This window comes from Homo sapiens, chromosome 10, assembly GCF_000001405.40.
Source record: "Homo sapiens chromosome 10, GRCh38.p14 Primary Assembly".
In the NCBI taxonomy this organism is placed as follows: domain Eukaryota; kingdom Metazoa; phylum Chordata; class Mammalia; order Primates; family Hominidae; genus Homo; species Homo sapiens.
The window spans coordinates 14,864,317-14,887,579 of NC_000010.11; the positions used below are offsets into that span (position 1 = coordinate 14,864,317).

A 23,263-nucleotide genomic window follows, 5' to 3' on the forward strand; every position below is an offset into this window, starting at 1 on the left:
TTTTTTTTTTATTTTTATATATATTTTTATTATACTTTAAGTTCTAGGGTACATGTGCACAATGTGCAGGTTGGTTACATATGTACACATGTGCCATGTTGGTGTGCTCCACCCATTAACTCATCATTTACATTAGGCATATCTCCTAATGCTATCCCTCCCCCCTACCCCCACCCCACAACAGGCCCCGGTGTGTGATGTTCCCCTTCCTGTGTCCAAGTGTTCTCATTGTTCAGTTCCCACCTATGAGTGAGAACATGCGGTGTTTGGTTTTTTGTCCTTGCGATAGTTTGCTGAGAATGATGGTTTCCAGCTTCGTCCTACAAAGGACATGAACTCGTCATTTTTTATGGCTGCATAGTATTCCATGGTGTATATGTGCCACATTTTCTTAATCCAGTCTATCCTTATCAGACATTTGGGGTGGTTCCAAGTCTTTGCTGTTGTGAATAGTACCGCAATGAACATATGTGTGCATGTGTCTTTATGGCAGCATGACTTATAATCCTTTGGGTATATACCCAGTAATGGGATGGCTGGGTCAAATGGTATTTCTAGTTTAGATCCCTGAGGAATCGCCACACTGTCTTCCACAATGGTTGAACTAGTTTACAGTCCCACCAACAGTGTAAGTGTTCCTATTTCTCCACATCCTCTCTAGCACCTGTTGTTTCCTGACTTTTTAATGATCGCCATTCTAACTGGTGTGAGATGGTATCTCCTTGTGGTTTTGATTTGCATTTCTCTGATGGCCAGTGATGATGAGCATTTTTTCATGTGTCTTTTGGCTGCATAAATGTCTTCTTTTGAGAAGTGTCTGTTCATATCCTTCGCCCACTTGTTGATGGGGCTGTTTGTTTTTTTCTTGTAAATTTGTTTGAGTTCTTTGTAGATTGTGGATATTAGCCCTTTGTCAGATGAGTAGATTGCAAAAATTTTCTCCCATTCTGTAGGTTGCCTGTTCACTCTGATGGTAGTTTCTTTTGCTGTGCAGAAGCTCTTTAGTTTAATTAGATCCCATTTGTCAATTTTGGCTTTTGTTGCCATTGCTTTTGGTGTTTTAGACATGAAGTCCTTGCCCATGCCTATGTCCTGAATGGTATTGCCTAGGTTTTCTTCTAGGGTTTTTATGGTTTTAGGTCTAACATTTAAGTCTTTAATCCATCTTGAATTAATTTTTGTATAAGGTGTAAGGAAGAGATCCAGTTTCAGCTTTCTACCTATGGCTAGCCAAGTTTTCCCAGCACCATTTGTTAAATAGGGAATCCTTTCCCCATTTCTTGTTTTTGTCAGGTTTGTCAAAGATCAGATAGTTGTAGATGTGTGGTATTATTTCTGAGGGCTCTGTTCTGTTCCATTGGTCTGTATATCTGTTTTGGTACCAGTACCATGCTGTTTTGGTTACTGTAGCGTTATAGTATAGTTTGAAGTCAGGTACTCCAGCTTTGTTCGTTTGGCTTAGGATTGACTTGGCAACGTGGGCTCTTTTTTGGTTCCATATGAACTTTACAGTAGTTTTTTCCAATTCTGTGAAGAAAGTCATTGGTAGCTTGATGGGGATGGCATTGAATCTATAAATTACCCTGGGCAGTATGGCCATTTTCATGATATTGATTCTTCCTATCCATGAGCATAGAATGTTCTTCCATTTGTTTCTATCCTCTTTTATTTTGTTGAGCAGTGGTTTGTAGCCCTCCTTGAAGAGGTCCTTCACATCCCTTGTAAGTTGGATTCCTAGGTATACCACTTGCTACTTATTAATAAAGCTTTTTTGATGTTGAATATGAGAAATTTGAAAAGGCATATTCTGCATTTTTGTTCTCCTGGTATTTACCTGGGATCATAAAATTTTAGAGAAGATTGCTCTTTTTACTTACCTCCAAACAGATCTTTTGAAGATCTTTGCCAAGGAAAACCTAGTTTTTAAACAAAATATCCTACAGCTGATGTTCCTCATGCTCGTACCTGGAGATTAATAGGGTGTCCCTCATTACTTCATACTGAACGTGAAAGAGGCCTAGCTTTCATCAGGTGGTCCTCTGCCTCAGTGAGCGGTGAGATCATCCGTAAAGACTGTGAAATAGGAAGTGGCTATTGATTTCCCTTCTTAGGTTATATATTAATTCAATATTCTGAATGCCCATGGAATCATAAGTGTTCAATGAATGAATCAATGAGCAACTTAAGGGATTTACAGTTTAAGGGAGCAATTTTATATGAAATTCTTCAGAAAGATTTAATCAGATGGTACCAGCCGCTTAAAATGCAGTTTTATAAATCAGCTCTTTTTCCTCAAGAAACTTAATATTCTTCCATGGTAAAGGCAAATAAGTTTATGGCATAGTTTTCACTAAGAGAGAATAGCAATATTTGTCACAAAAATGCTTTAAGATTCAAACTTTTAAAAAAAAAACTTGGACAGTACAAAATATTGATATATTTTCTATTCAAGTGACTATTTGTGGTTAAGCCTCTTCTGCACAGTATGATGAACCAAGTATGTAGCTCTACTGTATTTTGTAATAAATGGTGAGATTTCCTCATTTTAAATTTTGTTGTGAATAAAGAATATGTTAAATATCTATAATATGTTTAAATATATGTTTGTGTATTTATAGGTTAAGTATAACATAACATGTTAATATATAGGGCTTTTTTTGTATTTTATCTTTACATACGATGAAGATGACTCAGTCTATTACACTTAATTTTGAGACACAGCATTCTTCTAAAAGTAAACAACTGAAAATTATTTTTATTCTCTAGGTTGTCCTTTGTGGAGGGTCTTCTCGAATCCCAAAGCTACAGCAACTGATTAAAGATCTTTTCCCAGCTGTTGAGCTTCTCAATTCTATCCCTCCTGATGAAGTGATCCCTATTGGTGCAGCTATAGAAGCAGGAATTCTTATTGGGAAAGAAAACCTGTTGGTGGAAGACTCTCTTATGATAGAGTGTTCAGCCAGAGATATTTTAGTTAAGGTATGTTTAGCTTTTGTATACTAGTTAAGGTATGTTTAGCTTTTCTATACTTTACATAAAAATAGTAAATTAATTGCCATAAGTTTTTATACATACCATGATGTTACAATAAAACCTTGTATACTGACAGGTCTTAAATTTAGATTTATAATCCTACTTTTAAGGTATGTCTTATATTCTTTTAGTTAATATTTCTCTAACCTCTTAGTTTTTTAGAAAAATAAAAGTTAGGTATAATATTAATCATAAGCTAATATAGAGAGAGGTATGTTTCAATATATTTTTAAAGTGAAGTAGGATTAAGGATTATTTCTATTTTCTTCTCTTTGCCTAGTGTCCTGTTTATCAATAAGGAATATATATCTCATTTATAATGGGAAGTTTTTTTCAATTGTAAAGATAAATACCAAAGAGTATGCACCTTGTTTCCTGCTAACTAGGGTGTGGACGAATCAGGAGCCAGTAGATTCACAGTGCTGTTTCCATCAGGGACTCCTTTGCCAGCTCGAAGACAACACACATTGCAAGCCCCTGGAAGCATATCTTCAGTGTGCCTTGAACTCTATGAGTCTGATGGGAAGAACTCTGCCAAAGAGGAAACCAAGTTTGCACAGGTGAATACATAAAGTTAGACACATTAAACTGTTCAACTTTGCTTTCTGGATTAGATTCAGTTTAATATCTTAATACAAAATGTGTATATATATAAAGGACACCTAATACATTTTTATGAAGGATTTTATGAAGGCTCATTTCTGAAAATGAACACCTGTGTACTCATTTTTGAAAGAGGGAAAAAATAGGCAGTTCTAATTTGAAAGAGTTCTGGGTATTTAGACTGCTTCTCTGTTGTGCTCTTGGCCTACCTTGGTAGTTAGGTAAGTGGAATGGGAGAATTATATTTTTTGGTTCATGCTAAATGCACATTATTGTGTACGTTTTACAGATGATTAAGAAGTTGGCCTGTGATAGCAAATACCCTTTATTTTCTTGGTCAAGCTAGGGTTTCTCCTCACGTTGGTTTCATTTCTGAGCCCATGACATGCTCTTCCCATTGTGCCATGCTGCCTCTGAGACAAGATAGGTTTGCTTTTTTAAAATACCGCGTGCATATCTTATACTATGTGACCCTCTGTATGCTTTACAGAGAGTGAAGTAGAGCCACGTTATTTACTTAGAAACATGTCTGAGAAATGCAGTTGCATTCACACACACACACACACACACACACGGACTGCAGAACAGTATTTGTATTACAATGCCATTTGTATCTAAATAAAAAGTCTGGGAGCATGAGTGTGTGTGAGGAGGTAGTATTTGAGTAGGGGTGCATTTTCAGATATCCAGGCATTTATACAGAAAATATCTATAGGTACTTAAACCATATTCCAGAAACTTCACAGTAGGTAAATAAGTTTGAAGGTACCAAGAGGGGTTTTTTGACTTTTGACACCTTATACTGAATTTTTTACAAACAGCACAGGACATGAGCATGAATTACTTTTATAGTAAAAATTAAATATCGGTAACAAAAAATAATGTACTGTTTTTTTTGTTTTTTCTTTTTTTGAGACGGAGTCTCGCTCTCTTGCCCAGGCCAGAGTGCAGTGGCACGATCTCGGCTCACTGCAAGCTCCGCCTCCCAGGTTCATGCCATTTTCCTGCCTCAGCCTCCTGAGTAGCTGGGACTACAGGCGCCCACCACCACGTTCGTCTAATTTTTTGTATTTTTAGTAGAGACAGGGTTTCACCGTGTTAGCCAGGATGGTCTCGATGTCATGACCTCATGATCCGCCTGCCTTGGCCTCCCAAAGCAGTATTGTTTTTTAAAAAATATATGCACATTCAGAGAAGTCCAGAAGCAGACTAAAAATGCCTAGCTTTTTTGAGAAGACAGGGTGTTTATTAGTGATGAGATATTGTGTGTGTACGTGTACGTGTGTGTGTGTGTGTGTGTGTGTGTGTGTGTAAAGAGATACATATCTTTAGCTCACATATTTATTTTAATTTTTTTTTTTTAAGACGGCATCTTGCTCTGTCACCTAGGCCAGAGTGCAGTGGCATGATTTCAGCTCACTGCAACCTCCACCTCCCGGGTTCAACTGATTCTCCTGCCTCAGCCTCCGGAGTAGCTGGGACTACAGGCATGCACCACCACACCTGGCTAATATTTGTATTTTTAGTAGAGACAGTTTCACTGTGTTGACCAGGCTGGTCTCAAACTCCTGACCTCAGGTGATCTGCCTGCCTCAGCCTCCCAAACTGCTGGGATTACAGGCATGAGCCACCACGCCTGGCCACATATTTATTTTCTAATTCCAACAAAAGAGTAATGAAAACACACACATGCATAACATGCCTGGGCTGCACCTCAGACTTACCAACTTGGAATCTATTGGTAAAGTTTTAAAAGCGCTTCCACATGAATTGGTTTGTGTGTGTCTAAGAACCTTCCCATGCACCAGGTTTTTGAACTCAGATGGCAGTCCTAGTATTTCCTTAGCTCTTCTCTCACAGTTCTGTTACCTTTTTCTTCACATCCTCTCTGAGACTCCATAGCTGCTGCCACTATATCCTAACTTAAAGATGCCAGGAGGAGCGTTAGCCACGTAATACTGAATTTGGAAGAGAATCTTTCAGAGTTCCCATCTGTTCTAACCTTATTTTACAAATGAGTAAAACAAGGTACTTAGTAACTTACCTAAGTTATTAAACTAGAGTTTGGCAAAGCCTAAAGTCACTGCAGAACTCCAAATCTGGTTTCTTGATATACCATTCTTTAGGAAACTGAGGAATTTTATAGTAAATTCATTACCATCTCTTACTTACAAATATAATCTTAGTTGTACAAAAGAGTTTGCCATGTTTTTAAGTAGGTGATTTTCCAAATGTATTTAAAATGCTTGATTTTTTTTTTTTAAGTATATATAGAAAGCTAGCCAAATTATAATTTGCGTGTTACTGGGAATGGCTTACTTACCAAAAAAGAAAAGTAGCCTTTATTTTCCAAGATTAATAGTACATCTTAGAAACAATGATTTTAATCTAGGACATGACATTTAGAAGGGACAAATGCATTAGTTATCTTATATGCCCTCCTTCTGGAGGAAACATTTCAAGTTAACAAAGCTTCACTCCTATTCTCTGAATTCTGATTCAGTGGTAGGAGAATTGAAAACTGCCCTATTTTAAAAAGGTTTGTTTCAGTGATAAATAAGCTTTGGTCCTTTGCAATAATTGATACATCAGTTCATTTATGTAAAGATGCTGAATTCTCTTCATATTGTTCTTGTATAAACAGGTTGTACTCCAGGATTTAGATAAAAAAGAAAATGGATTACGTGATATATTAGCTGTTCTTACTATGAAAAGGTAAAAAATTAAACTTCTGTTGTTAAGAAAATTCAATTTGATACTTGACCATTTTTTGAGTTTATTGATTTTTTTATTTATTGTCATTCTAGAAGAAACATTAAAAACCTACAGAGGTTTTTATCAGTGAATTACATTTTTTGCCCCCAGAATTACTATATTTTACAAAGAAAAGTATATCTCAAGTCATTTGCATCTTGAATATTTTAGGAACTCTTTATTTTGGCTATCATCAACCTAAGAAACTGATCTGTGCTCATTTGAGATGTAATTTATCAATTTCTAGTATAATTTTCTAAGGTTTATGTAACTGTTACTGTTTGCCCTATGAAAGGGTAAGTTTCTTTATTGCTGCAGAAAATCTGTAAGAAAAAAATGTACTAATTAAATTCAGCTATTGCCATTTTCCTAACCACAAGCTATCCATATCACTATGTATTACAAGTAAATCCTTTCCAAATGAAACTTAAAAGACAACTTACTCCATAAACGATACTTAGCAAGAATATAGAATTCATCAGGGTGAGTTTGCCTTGGCCTAGGCTTGAAAATAGCATGGTGCATCTGGAGCTTATATAAAGTCTTAAACCTAAGATGTTTGTCATCATGGGTTTTCAAGAAATACAACCATGATCTTAGTGGTCTGGAAGGAAGTTCCTAATAACAACTAGCTAAATATAACATATGACACTTACTAAATTTAGAGACACTGAGATTGTGTTTATTCTTTACATTAATACCCTTCTTTTGAAAATTAAAATTAACCCTTGTTTACTGAAAGCCCTCAAGTAACTTGTTACAGACTTTATGTTTTTATAAAATGAGCTTGTGCAATGTTCTTTATTTTTTTGTCTGTTTAGGGATGGATCTTTACATGTGACATGCACAGATCAAGAAACTGGAAAATGTGAAGCAATCTCTATTGAGATAGCATCTTAGTGTTTTAGAGAAATCAAGAATTTTTAAAAACAAGAATATCAACATTTGGTTTTGTGTATAAGTGGTGTTTGTATTAAAATACTTTTTCAATGAACTGTATAAACTATGTTTTATTAAACTACAATATATCAGTAAGTGTTGCAACCCTTTGTTTTTGACGTACAGTAACCTCTTATTACTGGGAAATATAAGGAAGTTTTTTTTTTTTTTTATCATGAAGCTGTTTAGAATTAAACTGAGTTGGTTAAAGAATTTTCTATAACATTTAATTTGTAAAAGTCTTCTATTGATTCTTGTTAGATAACCAAGAGAACAATTAAAAGTCATTGACATTAATTGAAAAAAATTTCAGGACCACATAGAAAGTAAGATGCCTTTTTTTGTTGGTTTTTGTTTTTAGAGACAGGATTTTGCACTGCCACCGAGGCTCAAGTGCAGTGGTGGGATCATATCTCACAGCAGCCTCGAACTGCTGGGCTCAAGCAGTCTTCCTGCCTTAGCCTCCCTTGTAGCCGGGACTACAGATGTGCACCATCACACCTGGCAATTTTTTTTTTTTTTTTTTTTTTTTTGGAGAGACGGGTCTTGCTATGTTGCCCAGGATGGTCCCAAACTGCTGGTCTCAAGCAGTCCTCCCGCCTTAGCCCCACAAAGTGCTGGGATTACAGGCATAAGCGACAGCCATTTTTTAAGTAAACTGATAAACTCAACAACTAGGAGAGGGGCTTTTACTTTTTACAGTTTTGTTTAGTTTATTTCTTCCAACAAACATGTTTTTCTTTTGAAATTAAAAGATCTCTTTAGGGCTGGGCACGGTGGCTTACACCTGTAATTCCAGCACTTTGGGAGGCAGAGATGGGAGGATCACTTGAGGCTAGGAGTTCCAGACCAGCCTGGCCAACGTGGTGAAACCCCATCTCTACTAAAAATACAAAAAATTAGTTGGGCGTGGTGGTGTGCGCCTGTAGTCTTAGCAACTCCTGAGACTGAATCCCTTGATCCCAGGAGGCAGAGGTTGCAGTGAGCCGAGATCACGCCACTGCACTGCAGCCTGGGTGACAGAGTGATACTCCATCTCAAAAAAAGAAAAAAAAAATCTCTTTAGTTTGAAGAGAAGGCTAGCCACATTCTGTTTACCAGAGAATATTCACTAGAGCCCTGAGATCCTCAGTGGGTTCCAGTGAAAACTTATTCATGTTGGCTGCTATGGAGTTAGTTGGTAGTACCCTTCTAAAAGTTTTTAAAGATCCAGAAACCAAACTTAAATTTTTTCATCATTATTTTGCATCAAATTATTGACAGAACCATGAAGAGAATTCAGATATGATTTTAAGTCCACAGAGTCTTTAAATACAGAAGCAGCTTTAAAGGTGTACTCTTTGTCCTAAGTTATTAGTTATTTCTTAGGATCTTTTTCCAAAGTCATAGAAAATTTGAAATAAAAGTGATTTTGGTATAAGCAATTCAGTGGCTTCAGAACACAGGAAAACACCAACTGAACTAGTTCTACTGCTAGGTCTACATGCTTTCAATTATGCTTTGAAAAACTTTTAGGATTTTATTTTGTGGTTATTGTTAGCTTTTAAAATAGATCTGGGGTGCCAAACTATGGCCAGTGAGTCAGATCTATCTCACCCCTGTTTTCATAGATAAAATTTTATTAGAACACAGTCACACTCTAATTGTATATGGGCTGGCTGTGGCGGTTTTCACATTAGAGTGGCAGAGATGAATAGTTGCACAAAGGCTGTGTGGCCCACAAAGCTTAAAATATTTACTGTCTGGCCTTCTACATAAAAAATTTGACACCTAAAGTACATTATTGAAACTTATAGAATAAAATAACTTCTTCTAAAGTTTTCTGCTATATTTATGTAATGCTTTACTTATTGGCTCCTTTCCCCACTAGATTATTAAGCATTGTGAGAGCAGATACTCTCAGTCTTAGTCACCATTTTGCCTCAGCCCCTACAACAGTACGTGAGCATAGTGGGTGTTCCTAAGTGCTTATCAAATAAATGAATTATGTGGAAGAAAAAATAATGTCATGTTTGTATGCTACAGGACAATGGCCAGTGAGTAGTACATCTGTTGTATATTTTATGGTTTGTTTAGAAACATAAGGAAGGAAAGGAATAGCACTGCTGACTTTATTGGTCAGCTTTGCATGTTTGTTTGGTTGTTTTCCCCTAGACTTATCAAATTTGAAATTGTCATCAATAAGTCCTCTACTGCCTAATGAAATTCTTCCACATTTTTTCGTACCCTCAGGTGATAAGTTTTTTCCTTGTGAATTTTTGAAAGATTTGCTGACAAAATTTTCTAGTGTTTTTTTATTTTTCAAGGTGAAAATAGCTTTAAATTTTTTGTTTGTAAGAATGATACATAGTCAATATAAAATTCAAATTCCAAAAGAAAAAAATATAAAACATTCTTTATTCTACCATCCAGAATAGTAACTATAAAGATTTTTGGTGAGTACCTTGATAATCTTTTCATGTACATCCTAGTTATCTTTGTTATATGTATGTCGTAGCAAAGATAATTGGGATGTACATGAGATACATGCAATTTATACTCATGAAATGTAAATATATTTCATGAAGTTTAAATATGTATATATTTAAATGTGGGGAAAGTAGTCAAGTAAGTGAAGTATTACATAAATATGGAAGAAAAGTTTTGAAGAAGTCATTTTATTGTGGAAGTTTCAATAATCTACCTCGGGTCAAGTTTTTTATATAAAAGGCCAGATAGTAAATATATACATATTTAAACTTAAACACTTTTACCACTAAAAGCTTATGTCAAATTATAGTTTTGCCTATTTACATCTGACATTGTCTGAAGAACAGAGCCAAATATAAAAATAGGAAGAAATACCTATGATGTGAAAGTCTTGGAACGTGTCTTAGTTTGGACTGCTATAATAAAGTACCATAGTCTGGGGGGTGGCTTGTAAACATCAGAAATGTATCATAGTTCTGGAGGCTGGAAGTCAGTTCGGGTGCTGGACCAGGCTGGAAGCGGGGCCGGGTTCTGATGAGGGCTCCCTTTTGGGTTGCCAGCTATCCTTATAACCTCACACGGAGGATAGAGGGCGAGAGAGCTCTGAAGGGTCCCTCTTGTAAGGGTGTCAATCCCATGCATGCAGCCTCCACCTTCATGATTTAATCACCTCCCAAAGGCCCCACCTCCCAATATAATCACTTTGGGGGCGAGGATTTCAACACTGGAATTTTTCAGAGATGAAAACGTTCAGTCCTTAACAGGAGGTCACAAAATATTCATCACAAACTGAAAGCTTTTATATGTATAAGAATTCTTAAAAGTATCCTAGCATAAAAGTTCTATGGGAAAAATCACAATATCTAAAATGATAATGAGTGACCATATAATACTGTTATTTGCTTTAATTCATTATCTCATTTTAAAATTTTGATCTCATCACAATTCCACGAGTAGTTGTACTATGTAGAGAGTAATATGGCCTTGGTTATTTCTGTTTTCCAGATAATAGATTCACAGCAGTTAAATAAAGTATCCAAGGTCTCACAGTGAATAAATGGTGGATTTTGAACTAACATTCAGATGCTTATTTTGTAAACTTAATTTTTCTTGACTGCTTACTATTTTAAGCACATTACATGGATTATTTCATTTAAATTCACATTCTTAATCTAGTGTTCATTCTATGATTCTTTGCCTCTCAGAAGAGAACGTTTATTTCAGTAGAAGAGGAGACACTCCAGAAATCATGTGGTCTTTGTGAAAAAAATACTGGGAAAGGGTCATGATTCTCTACTTTTCCCTTGAGGACCCTGGTGTGTGTCTCTCAGTGGCTTTTTATTTCTCTCTCCATTTATAGCCAGGATTTACCAACACCCTCAAACATTTTAGTCCCAGGAACCCTTTATAGTCTTAAAAAATAACATGTTGAGAACCCATAGAGCTTTTGTTTGTTACATATACATAAAATGTAGTTATATAACTATAGTTACCATATGGAAATTAAAACCAATTTTAAAAATTATTTCTAAGTAATAAAGTTAATTTTTTATGAGAAATAATTTTTCTAAGACAAAAAATTAGTGGCAAGGGTGGTATCTGGGGTTTTATTTTTTGTTTTTTGTCTTGAGACAGGGTCTTGCTCTGTTGCCCAGGCTGCAATGTAGTGGTTTGATCATAGCTCACTACACCCTCAAACTCCTGGGCTCAAGCGATCCTCCCACCTCAGCTTCCTGAGTAGCTGGGACCCCAGGCATGTGCCACCACGCCCAGCTAATTTTTTAGTAGGGTTGCCCTGGCTGGTCTCTAGCAATTCCTCAGCCTCCCAAAGTGCCAAGATTATACGTGCGAGCCACTTTGCCTAGCCAAAAGCAGTATTTTGTATTTTTTCAAATCTCTTTAATGTCTGGCTTAATAGGAGATAGCTATGTTCTGGTACCTGCGTCTTCGTTCAATGTGTTGCAATATTCAAATTGTGTAACCTCTAGAAAATTCCACTATGTACTCATGAGCGAAGGAAGGCAGAGAACATGTTGGTCTGAAAATAGTTTTGCGCTCATGAACCCTGTGAAGAGTCTTCGGGTCCCAATTACCATACTTTGAGAATTGCTGCTCTAGATAGTAAACACGGTGATGAATGTTGAACAGACAGGGCCTCATCTATGCGCTGGAATGGATGGGATTCAAGACACGAAACGAAACACTGGATTTACAAAATAGTGCGATGCATTCATTATGAATCAAGACCAAAGAACAAAAACCCGACAAGATAATTGCAAATTTTGATGAGTGCTTTTTAAGGATGCAAAGTAGGGCTAAAGAATGAGGTAACATGCGAGGCCTCTGTCAATAGGTGGTGTTTAAGCTGAGACCCAAGTGATCTGAAGGTAGCCATGTGAGGAGGGGAAGGAGCCTGTCCTCTTAACCGGAAAGTAATTTCCAGCTGCCTTCAGTGATTTGCTTTATCCGCTGCTCCTGTCACTAGGAAGTCAGCTCCATGAGGACTGGGTCTTTTTTCTTTCTCATCCACTGCTATATTCCCAGCACCTATCAGGTGCCTGGCACATAGGAGATGCACAGTAAAAGATTTCTGGGTAAGTGGGGCCGGGGAAAGGCCAGGAAAATGAGTAAAGGGGAGAGTGGCACCAAGTGAGGTGAGACAGGATTCCCATCACTGGAGGCCCTGCCGGCCATCTGGAGGTTTGAGTTTTATTCTGAATGCTACGAAGTTCAGAAGTGTATTTTTCCGGATATGTTCAATTTGAGATGTTTGTGCAACACCTAAGGGCATATGTCCATTACGCACTGTGGATATTCTAGCCTGGAATTCAGGCAGAGGCCAGGGCCGGAGACGATAAGTGAGGCATCTTGTGTGTCAAGATGCTATTTAAATCCATGGGAATTGGGGCAGTCACATAGGGAGAGGGCGGAAAAGAAATGCAGTCCCAGGACTACAGTCTCTTCTCTGAGGAACCCAGGTTGGACTGAGGAAAAGGAGCCAAAAAGGATTCAAGAGTGGCCAGTGAGTAGCGATGGCCGCTCCTTGGTGGGCTCTGAAAACATACAGGAGAGGTAATGAATACAGGGGCCGGTTAGGACGGGAGGCTGTATCCAAGTCTGAAGGCATAATCCTAGATAGACTAAGCCTTAAAGGGCCTGGATGCTCTTCCAGGTGACAGGGTTGGACAGGGCCTTTTATTCCTTATCTCAAGGTAATGAGATATGGAATACAAAATTTACTAAGGACTCAAATCTTAGAAACATGTCTGAGAAATGCAGTTGCATTGAAACACACACGGACTGCAGAACAGTATTTGTATTATGATGCCGTTTGTAGCTAAATAAAGTCTGGGAGCATGAGTGTGTGTGAGGAAGTGGTGTTTCCCATCGTAGAAAATGATTAAATATTTAAAAACGAGAAGTTAAAAAGAAAATCACTCCGAAAAGGCTATTTCGTTATTTTCCTATACATTTTTTTCTTCCATAGTTAAAACTATATTTCAGGGGGATTTGTTTTGGTTTTGCTGAATACTAAAAGCTTCATGAACACCTTTTTAAGACGGCTAGACAGTATTTCATAATGGAATCAAATAATTAACTATTCCTTTAATGGTCTGCGTTCATTTCCAGTATTTCAAATTTATACATACTGCTTTGAAACGTTTATGTAATTTTTTACATGAATTTTTTAAGGAGATATCAAATGGCCTTCTGCCAGTTTTCGTTATTTGCTCTAAGATTTCTGCTTTAGGTTGTTTAGAACAATCATGGATGCAGCGTCAAGAATGGGTGGGGGAGGGGGGTGGAGACCAGGTGGGAGGCCCCTGGAGTCGTCCTGCAGCTTCCTTACTAACGTGTCCTTCTCCTCCCGGCCCCCACCCGCCACCAGGCCGAGCTCAGGAGCTTGGCAACAACATGGGAGGGGAGCTCGGGTCCCCTTACAGACCTACCCAATCCCAATTTACATTAAAGTTGAGCCCAGGAGGTCTAGTCTGCAGTGAGCCGTAATCGCGCCACTGCACTCCAGCCTGGGTGACAGAGTGAGACCTCATCTCTTAAAAAATTCCAAGTCCAGCTCCCCCACCCCCGACGATTCGTAAGCCCCTTTAAGTGAGAAGCACTGATGTGGACCGGTGGTTTCCGCTGTGCCGCACATTAGGATCAGCTGGGAGCTGGATAGCACAGGCCACACCCCACACCAACCAGTCGGAATCCCGGCGACTGCCCCAAGCCAGCGGAACCTCTCCAGCCATGCCCACGTGCAGCCGCTTCCGAAGCCCGGAGCTCTAGAGGGAGCGGTGTCGGGGGGAGACTAACCATGGCCCACGGGGCTGCGGTAGCTGCGGAACCGTACCCGACAGGCAGCGTCCCCGGCTCCCTAGGTCCCCGCTGCCCGTGTCGGATCTCGCAGTGTGCGAGTGCTGCCGAAGTAAGACGTCTCCAAAGCGCAAAGTCCTGGCCGACGTCTTCCCGAGTGAAGGCGCCAAACGGGCCTGGCGAAGGGAAGGGGGCGCCGGACACTGCCGAGGATCCGGGAGCACGCGCGCTCGCCCCGCCCCGCTCCTCGCGCTTGGGGCCGGGCCTAGCTTTGGGGCGCAGGCGCGCTGGCCGCCGCGGCGGGGGGTCGGCCGCCAGTGACGTCAGGACGCCGTGCGGGTTCCGTCCCCCAACAAGCCCCGGCCCCCAAGTCCCGCGCGGGCCGGCCAGGGGCGGGGCGTCGGGCCAGCTGAGCTATCCCGTCAGACCGCGCCAGTTTGAATGAAAGCTCTACAAGATGGCGGCGGTCGGGGCCGAGGCGCGAGGAGGTGAGGCTGGAGCGCGGCCCCCTCGCCTTCCCTGTTCCCAGGCAAGCTCCCAAGGCCCGGGCGGCGGGGCCGTCCCGCGGGCCAGCCAGATGGCGACGTGGCGGTTCCCCGCCCGCCGCGACCCCAACTCCGGGACGCACGCTGCGGACGCCTATCCTCCCCCAGGCCGCTGACCCGCCTCCCTGCCCGGCCGGCTCCCGCCGCGGAGGTGGGCACTGTCCGAGCCTGGGGCACTTCGGAAGTGGAGCGTGGCCTCTCCGCCCGCTCGGCCCGGCCCCCTCCGCGTCTCCCGTGGCGGCCTCGGGCTTCGAGGCCGCTCCCCGGCAGTCCCCGGTTGGAGGTCCGGGGGGCACGGCTGCGACTGGCTCCTTTGTGGTGGTTCGAGCGCGGCGTGCGGCATGCGCCCGGGCCTTTGAAGTGGGAGGCGGGAAGCGACGCCCGCCGGCGTGAACATGACCTTAATATCAGAGGGGGAGAGTAAATCGGGGCGCCTGTGTGCTAAGAAAGGGGATAAGCGAGGAATCCCCCCCAAGGCGGACACGCTAGGAGGTTGAGTGCCTCGTTGGAGAATCGCCCAGAAAGTGGGTATTTGAGGTTGCAGCCTCTGGCTTACGGTAACTCTTTCACCCACCGGGAGCTTGGTGTTATTTCTGTGGACGCTGGGGAATTGGGCACCGGGGAACTGGGCACCGAGCGCGCGTGGGTGTGGGCGTCGGGGGGTGTTGGTGTCGCGCACGCTTTGAGAGCCTGGAACTTTTCCGTGCGTTCCGGAATGTAAAGGTGTTTTCAAGCTCGTCTCCTCTCCGCTGGGATTATGACCTCATTATCCCTGAATTTTTCTCCTTGGAGAATGTCAGGGGTTACTGTGAACCAGCGGAAGGTGTTTGTGGTGGTCATGAACTATTTAATTTTGTCAGTGAAATCTTTTTCTGCATTACTGGAGACTGTCGAGAGATTGTCTTTCTTTTTTTAACCACGTGTTTGCAGTTTTTCATGTTCACTTTTTTTTTTTTTTTAATTTTCAAAGAGCATTTCCTTTGCGGGTTGTGTTTTGAATCCTCAACTAGATAAAAATGTTTAGGAAAAGCACACAAACACACCTTGAGTAGATAAGAGGAACCTCCTTTATACGTGATTCCCTTAATGAGGTCAGCTTAACACAAAACGTTCTCTAGTTTTTGTAGATGGAAGGGACTTAGGGGGTCATTTCTTTCCCATCACTGTCCTACCCCCAAACGACCACTACAAAGCCAATCAGCCTCTTCCCCCACGTTTTCTGGAGGAAAATACCTTTGTCTTTACTGCTTTAGGATGGAATCGTTTGCAGCCAGTGAGATGGTAGAAATTATGCTTAAGGGTTTCTGACAATGAAGTTTCTGTGTGAGGTGGGGAGGATGAGGAAAGGGGCCGGAAAAGTTATTGCCACTAACAAGTGTTCTCCCTTCCCTGAAATTACCTCAAAACGCAAAAGGTGATCGCAACTACCTTGGAGAGCTACCAAGTAAAGCTTGAGTTTACTGATAGATTTTGTTTGGTAACACCAGTTTTCTCCATTTTTTTCCAGTGAATCTGACAGCCAAAAAGATTGAGACCTCACTAAAGTCACATAGCTCGGTGACCGAGCGATGGGTAGTGCAGAGGACTTTTGATTTTGTCAAGTGCTTACCATGACACTAGCCCTAACAACAAGTTTGTTCCATTTTCCTAAACGTGTTAATTTACACTTTAAATTCAGTGTGGTAACATGCTGCTTACAGAAATTTGAGGGTGAAATCTTCTGGAACGCAATTAGTTTCTGGTTTCTGGAGGGTTGATGATGAGTATGTCTAATTTTCTTTGAGTTTAGTACATGGCTTATGTAAATTGAACACCGTTTTAAAAGTTTGGCTTTAAAAACAGTACAGTCCATAAGTATTACAAAATATCGATATACTCCATTTTTTTAATAACTGGAGTTTATTCACCTTGGTGATAATATATTGCAGTATGGGTAGAATAATAAGTGGAATTAAAGCTTCATGCAACATATCAAAGAGAAAACTAACATATAATGAGTTTGTAACCGTAGAAATATATTTTAATTAGATTTCAGTTCGTTTTGTCCAGTTAAAAAAAATGAAAGTTACGTGTTAACAAATTATAAGATTGTTTTAAAGTATATTTTAGATATGTTTTTAAGAATAAGTGTCCTAGAGATTTACATTTTATTAAAATAGTGATTGTAGTCTATGTAGAATACAATGAAAGTGAAAAACATTATCTCTGTTGACCTGCATCTGTATATAATCTTAAAAAAGCTTACAGACATGAAACATTTTCAAGTGACTTAATGGAAATTAACTGATGTCAGTTAAACGTAGTGGAATAGAAATCCATGAGAAAATCCAAGAACACCAATTTAACAAAATAGTTCCTTAATGTTTAACTTTTTCTTGAAGACATGTAACTGGTTTCTTGTCATAGGAATTTTTAGTCTAAAATTGCCAGTTGAAAGATGGGGAATAGAGGTTTTAAGTTTCTCTTTTTTGTTTTAATTGAATAGCTATTTCATTAGTAAAGAATTCTATTTTCTTATTGTAGCTTGGTGTGTGCCTTGCCTAGTTTCACTTGATACTCTTCAGGAATTATGTAGAAAAGAAAAGCTCACATGTAAATCGATTGGAATCACCAAAAGGAATCTAAACAATTATGAGGTGGAATACTTGTGTGACTACAAGGTAGTAAAGGTAAGGCAAATATCTAGCCCCTTACAAGAGACCTAATCAGACTTCAGTATTTCGTATTTCTGTAACATAAAAAGAACATTAAAAGAAAAGCTCTTCTTAATGTTTAAAATTCTAAGGCATGATAAATTTATATGTCCTATCATCTGTGTTGCCAAATAGCATTGAGAGGATTTTGAAGCATAAAGTGTTCTTGCATTAGAATATTTTCAGGTGCTCATATCCCTCTACATCCAACTCTTGATTATCTCCGTGTGGGTTACCAGAGCAAATGTTTGATCTCCAATTGTCTTTCGTTTTGTTCGTGGATCGTATTTCCCCACTATCACCTGAAATGAACCTACCGTTTCAAACCAATTTTAGTGTTACTGACTCTCAAGAACATCACCATTTGCATTTCCTGCCATCTTGTCACACTCCAGATTTAGTCAGGTTCTAGGTTATAATAGAATGGCCTGGATTGCAAAGTCATTTCCAGCTTTTGTTTAGTACCTTAGGACTTAAGCAAACTCGTTTCACTTCTCTAAGCCTTCCTTTATTGCTCTTAAAAAACGGCAGAGTTGTTCTCAAAAGATTTTTTGATCTAAACTGTATATTTTTGAGTAATTCATCTGTCTATAGCCTACCTCACTTTCCAAGAACTGTTTTGGTCATTAATCTACCAAATCTATCAGATAAGTGAATCGGGAATCTTGTTTAAGTCTTTATTTTCCTCCTTCATCTTCTATATTGAATCAGTCACTAAATCCCATTCTTTCAAGTTCTTTAGTATCACTGCCTTCCCTGCTCAGTGGGATCTTATGCCCATGCATCTCACCTGCACTCTCAGCATCCTTCGGCCCCTGAAACAGCCCCAGTCATCTGCCATCTCAGTTTACAAGCTATGGACTGACCAGTCCAGCTGAGAATATTATACAATCATGCATATCAGCCCCATTATAACTTATTTCTGTTCTCACACTGCTCAGTTCTACCTGACAAGCTTTTTATCTTGCTTGCTTTTCCCATTCTTGTCAGCAGGTTTTCCAACTTGGATTACTTTTCTGGGTTTCTTACTCTATCCATTTCTCATTTTCTGCTGAAGACCTCCTACCTCAATGAAAAATAGGATCTTTCATTTGTAAACTCTCAACTTACCTTCACCACCAGCTGTTCACACTTATTCTTACTTCCAGAGGTGTCACCATTTTTCTTTTTTCTTCCTATCTACCCCCTATAGGAGTTTTTTTTTTTTTTTTTAAAGGCCCAGAGTCTCGCTCTTGTCGCCCAGGCTGGAGTGCAGTCGTGCGATCTCAGCTCACTGCAACCTCCACCTCCTGGGTTCCAGCGATTCTCCTGTCTCCGCCTCCTGAGTAGCTGGGACCACAGGTGCCCGCCACCATGCCCAGCTAATTTTTGTATTTTTTAGTAGAGATGGGGTTTCACCATGTTGGCCAGGCTGGTCTCAAACTCCTGACCTCATGATCTGCCCGCCTTGGCCTCCCAAAGTGCTGGGATTACAGGCGTGAGCCACTGCACCCCGCCAGACTTTTTTTCTTCTCTGATGTCTTGTTTACATCAAGCTCTCTTTTTTTACTGATATATCTCAGTCAGTAAACACATTCAGATCTTCCCTAACCTTCAGAGATTTTCTTTGGCCTTGCCTCTCCCCTCATGCAAGTGTTTTCTGTCTTTTTCTACTACTGCATGTCCCATTAATTTTTTTAACAGCTTTGTTGAGATATAATTCACATGCTATCATACAGCTCACCTATTTAAAGTGTACAATTCAGATTTTGTAAACCGGGCACGGTGGCTCACGCCTGTAATCCTAGCACTTTGGGGGGCCAAGGCGGGCAGATCACTCGAGGTCAGGAGTTTGAGACCAGCCTGGCCAACATAGTGAAACCCCGTCTCTACTAAAAATACAAAAATTAGCCGGGCATGGTGGCGGGCCCCTGTAATCCCAGCTACTCAGGAGGCTGAGGCAGGAGAATTGCTTGAACTCCAGAGGTGGAGGTTGCAGTGAGTTGAGATCACCCCTCTGCACTCCAGCCTGGGCAACAGAGCGAGACTCAGTCTCAAAAAAAAAAAAAAAAAAAAAAAAAAAATCCCACAGATTTTCTAGTATACTTTAGGAGTCAGTTTTAGAACACTTTTCATTATCCCAAAAAGAAACAGTAAACCCCTTAGCTACCACCTGTTACCCCCAGACTTCCTCAGTTACCCTTCTACCTCCAGCCGTAGGGCAGCCACTACATCTGTCTGTCCATTTGCCTGGTTGGACATTTCATATAAAAGGAATCATACCATATGTGGTCCTTTGTGATTGGCCCCTTTCACTCAGCGTGTTTTCAGGGTTCATTCATGTTGTGAAATATATCAATACTTCATTCCTTCTTATTGCCAAATAATATTTCATTGTATGGATATATCACATTTAACTTATTCATCACTTCGTGGCCATTTGAGTTGTTTCCATTTTCGGACTATTATAAATAAGGCTGTTATGAACATTCGCCTACAGGGTTCTGTGTGGACATAAGTTTTCATGGTTCTTGGGTATATAACGAGGAGTGGAATTGCTGGGTCATATGGTGACTCTGTGTTTAACTGTTTGAGGAACTGCCAGACTCTTTTCCAAAGCACTGCATTTTACATTTCCACCAGCAGTGTATGAGTTTCAGTTCTTCACATCCTGGCCAAAACATGATGTTATCTGACTTTTTGATGATAGTTTTCCTAGTAGGTTTGAAGTGGCATCTCATTGTGGTTTTGATTTGTATTTTTCTGACTAATGATACTGAGCATCTCCTGTGCCTATTGGCCATTTGTATATCTTTGGAGAAATGTCTGTTCAGATCCTTTGCGCATTTTAAAAATTGGATTGTCTGTTTATTCTTGGAATCATACTTCATATAGTCTGGATACAAATCCCTTATTAGTATGTGATTTGCAAAAATTTTCTCCCATTCTGTGAGTTGTCTTTCCACTTCCCATTAGCTTTTTAACCCACCTTATTCTGACTTGTGCCCCTCAGTGACCTTTTAGTCGTCAGATTTGAAGACCTTGCATCTTATTCAACTTTTCCCCATTTAACACTGTTGGCTACCTTTTCCTCTTTGAAACTCTCGTCTATGGAGAAATTGTCTAGGTTTAACATTTGCCCCTTATTTATAAGTTGTGTGATCTTCAGCAAGTTACTTAGCCTTTCTGTCTTTCAGTTTCTTCATCTTTGAAACAAGGATCATTATTGTACTATTCTTACAGGGTGTTACTAGCATTAAATGAGTTAACATAGATAGAATGCGTGGAACAAAGGCCAGCGTGGTAATTATACTATGTGAGTGCTTACTGTGATTATTCTTACCTCTATTCCTACTTCTTTTCCACCTGTTTTTCTTACTATTCTTTATGAACCTCCTTTACTATCTCTTATCTCTCCTCTGAAATGTTGATAGTCTTCAAGGCCCTGTTCTTGGCCTTCTCACCTTGTAGTTGCTCTGTAGGCAGCCTCTTTCCCAGTGGTTTCTACTTGTATGTGTTTGGCTCATTCAATCTTTCTGAGGCCTTGAGCCCTTTCTGGGCTTCATTGCGAACTGGATACCCTACAGGTATCCAAGTTCACATTCAAAACTGCACCTATTTTCCTCCTTCATACCTGGATTTTGCACTAGTGTTCCCTATCTTGGTTAACAGAAACATAATTCTCCCACTTACCTAACCTCATGATTGCATATATCTTTAATTCTTCGTTTCTTTTTACTCTCTAAATCTAATGGGTTATCATATTATGTTATCTCTATCTCTCTGTCCTTTCCTGTTCATTCCTGCTGTGCTTTCACAGAGAGAATTAGTAATAGTTACTTACGGGTCTGTGCTTACATTAAGGGAGCTACCAAGATTCTTGTGTGGAATCCTGAGTGTTGTAGTTCAGTTTCAGATCATTTTTGCTGTTTAGTTTCTTCTTAGTCTTTCTCATCAGTTCATCCCTTTTCTTGCTTCGGAATAAGTGACCTTCCTTTGCTCTCTTATGTCCTCAGTACCCCACATACATCCCCCATTTCTTCTGTCTGGCACAGATATTGAATCTCTAAGCCAGCATTACTTTAGCATACCTCTGCCTTTTTTCTTCTCTTTCTCTTTCTTTTACAAATTCAGAGTAGGTGAAGGATCTTATGACCTTGTCCTTTTCTTGTGTGACCACCTTCACTTAGCTCATGAAAGATACTGTCTCAATACCATAGTCTACCGTGCCATTATAGTTGTTTCTTAAACCTAGCTCTGATTGCATTCAAGCCTTGCTTTAGACCTTTTCATGGTTCCCTATTTAACAGTCTCATCTGAGACATGTTAGCATAGGACCAAGGTTCTTTATCATCTGGCCACCCGCCACCTTTCCAGCCTCATCTCTTGTCATATATCCTATTTTCTGAAATTGAAATATTTATAGATCATTTCATTTAGCTAAGATGTACTGAGCACCTGTTATGAGCTAGGCACTGTTCTAAGCATTGGAAACATAGCTGAAGAACAGACCCAGCTTATATTCTAATGCCTTGAACATATCATGCACTTTTGTGTCCCCTTTCCTCATCCATTTCCCTCTTCAGAATACTACCATTTCTCTTCCCTGGACCGCAAAATCCTACACAGCCTGCACAGTTCAGTGCATAGGTCACCACCTATTGTAGAACCACCTGCCCTTCCTCACCTCCAGCAAAATTAGTTGATTTATGTTCAGGATTTACAAAGCACCATTCTTGCCATTACTCTAGAACTTGTCGCACTTTATGGTCTTGTTTATATCAGATCTTCCCTGCCAAATCATCCACCATTTGAGGGCCAGGACTATGTCTCATTTTAGTCCCGGTACAGAACGGGTGTTTGGTCCATGGTCATTGAATTGAATTGTCTTTTGCTTCGGTCATGTTTCTAGGGCCTACATTCACTATTAGACTAGGCCTTCCTGGCTTCATGCTTAGATGATAGCAGCATTCTGTTGACTCGTATCTCCTGTTTCTTTTTCTCGTATACTTACTCAACAAATATTTGAGTTTCTTCTGTGTGCCAGACACTGTGTTAGGCACTGGGAATAGAAAGATTAATAAGAAACTCCCTCACTATAAAGAACTCACAGCCTAGTGAGAAAGTTTGACAAAGAAATAACCCGTTGCAGTGTAGATGTATAAAAAGTGCTGTGGCAAACATCGTTAGAAGATCTGTGGGAGGTGCACCTTGGATAGGTCACAGAAAGCTTCCCAGAAGTGATGTCCAAGTGGAGCCTGAAAAGGCGAGCATTGTAATTGACTAGGGCTTCTGTCTGGAGAATGAGGTGGTCGGAGATGGATGTGGGAAAGAAAGAGGTGAGTGAAGGATTTTTCAGCCATCCTAAGGCAATGGGGAGTTAGTTGGCAGGTTCTAAAGAGAGTGACACATCAGGTTTGTAATTGAGAGAATTTTCTCTCTGCAAAAAAGAAAGGGGATTGATAGGGAAAGGAATAACACGTGCATGGCTGCATGTTCTGAATGGCTGTCATAGTAACCAGACCAGAAACAATGGTGCTTGGACTAAAGTATTAACGATGTCAAGGAAAAGTAGGTGCACGGTTCTTTTGTTTTTTAAAAAAAAATAAGGATGTAAAATGTATGTCTGTGGCTTGTGGTCACAGGGTTGGGTGGGGGTCTGGTAGTGAAGGTGCCAGGTCTAGGAAAATACAGGTTTCTGACTTGGGCAGTGGTGTAGACAGTATTACTGTTCACCAGGAATACAGGAGTAGGAACTAGATTGGGTTTGGGGACCCATTTCCAGTGGGTTTAAGTTCTACTTAAAACATACTCAACTTTCTTGAGTACTTTCAAAATGTACTTTCTTGAAGACATTTTAAGTGGAACTTAAACCAACTGGAAGTGGGGCTCAAATCAGTAGTGAGATCTAACTAGAAACATAGATCCTAA

General features: G+C 40.1%; 2 protein-coding genes and 1 long non-coding RNA gene across 17 annotated transcripts in view, besides 1 other annotated feature; 2 read left to right on the plus strand and 1 right to left on the minus strand.

Annotated features, from left to right (window-relative positions):
- Positions 1-7,425, plus strand: part of HSPA14 (heat shock protein family A (Hsp70) member 14) — a 33,436-nt gene extending 26,011 nt beyond the window's left edge. Inside the window, exons 11-14 of the mRNA NM_016299.4 lie at positions 2,767-2,979; positions 3,420-3,593; positions 6,281-6,351; positions 7,212-7,425. Of these exons, the coding sequence (NP_057383.2) occupies positions 2,767-2,979; positions 3,420-3,593; positions 6,281-6,351; positions 7,212-7,290 (537 nt within the window). The 3' untranslated portion in view covers positions 7,291-7,425. The remainder of the gene's footprint in view (positions 1-2,766; positions 2,980-3,419; positions 3,594-6,280; positions 6,352-7,211) is intronic.
- On the minus strand, positions 1-14,343 carry SUV39H2-DT (SUV39H2 divergent transcript). Of its 8 annotated transcripts, none has more exons than NR_199703.1 (3): positions 14,116-14,343; positions 3,401-3,564; positions 1-2,073 (listed from the first exon to the last, which is right to left on the minus strand). It is a non-coding gene; the product is annotated as an SUV39H2 divergent transcript (long non-coding RNA). The 8 variants fall into 8 exon arrangements; NR_199704.1 differs by having other exon boundaries at positions 1-2,350; NR_186430.1 differs by lacking the exon at positions 1-2,073 and adding an exon at positions 2,736-2,922 and having other exon boundaries at positions 14,153-14,343.
- Positions 14,284-15,023: a silencer, noted in NCBI's record as "silent region_2164". NCBI's record gives its function as "represses an Ori minimal core promoter by ATAC-STARR-seq in GM12878 lymphoblastoid cells {active_cell/tissue: GM12878}" and the evidence as "EXISTENCE:reporter gene assay evidence [ECO:0000049][PMID:35858748]".
- Positions 14,550-23,263, plus strand: part of SUV39H2 (SUV39H2 histone lysine methyltransferase) — a 25,450-nt gene continuing 16,736 nt past the window's right edge. For 2 of the 8 annotated variants that reach the window (NM_001193425.2, NM_001193427.2), the window contains exons 1-2: positions 14,550-14,644; positions 17,184-17,329. Coding sequence is in view for 2 of the 8 variants with exons in the window: in NM_001193424.2 (NP_001180353.1) it covers positions 14,573-14,603; positions 17,184-17,329 (177 nt within the window). In the remaining 6 variants the exon portion in view is untranslated. Of the gene's footprint in view, positions 15,218-17,183; positions 17,330-23,263 lie in introns of all 8 variants that reach the window. The other 6 variants (NM_001193424.2, NM_001193426.2, XM_047425741.1 and 3 more) reach the window with 5 other exon arrangements.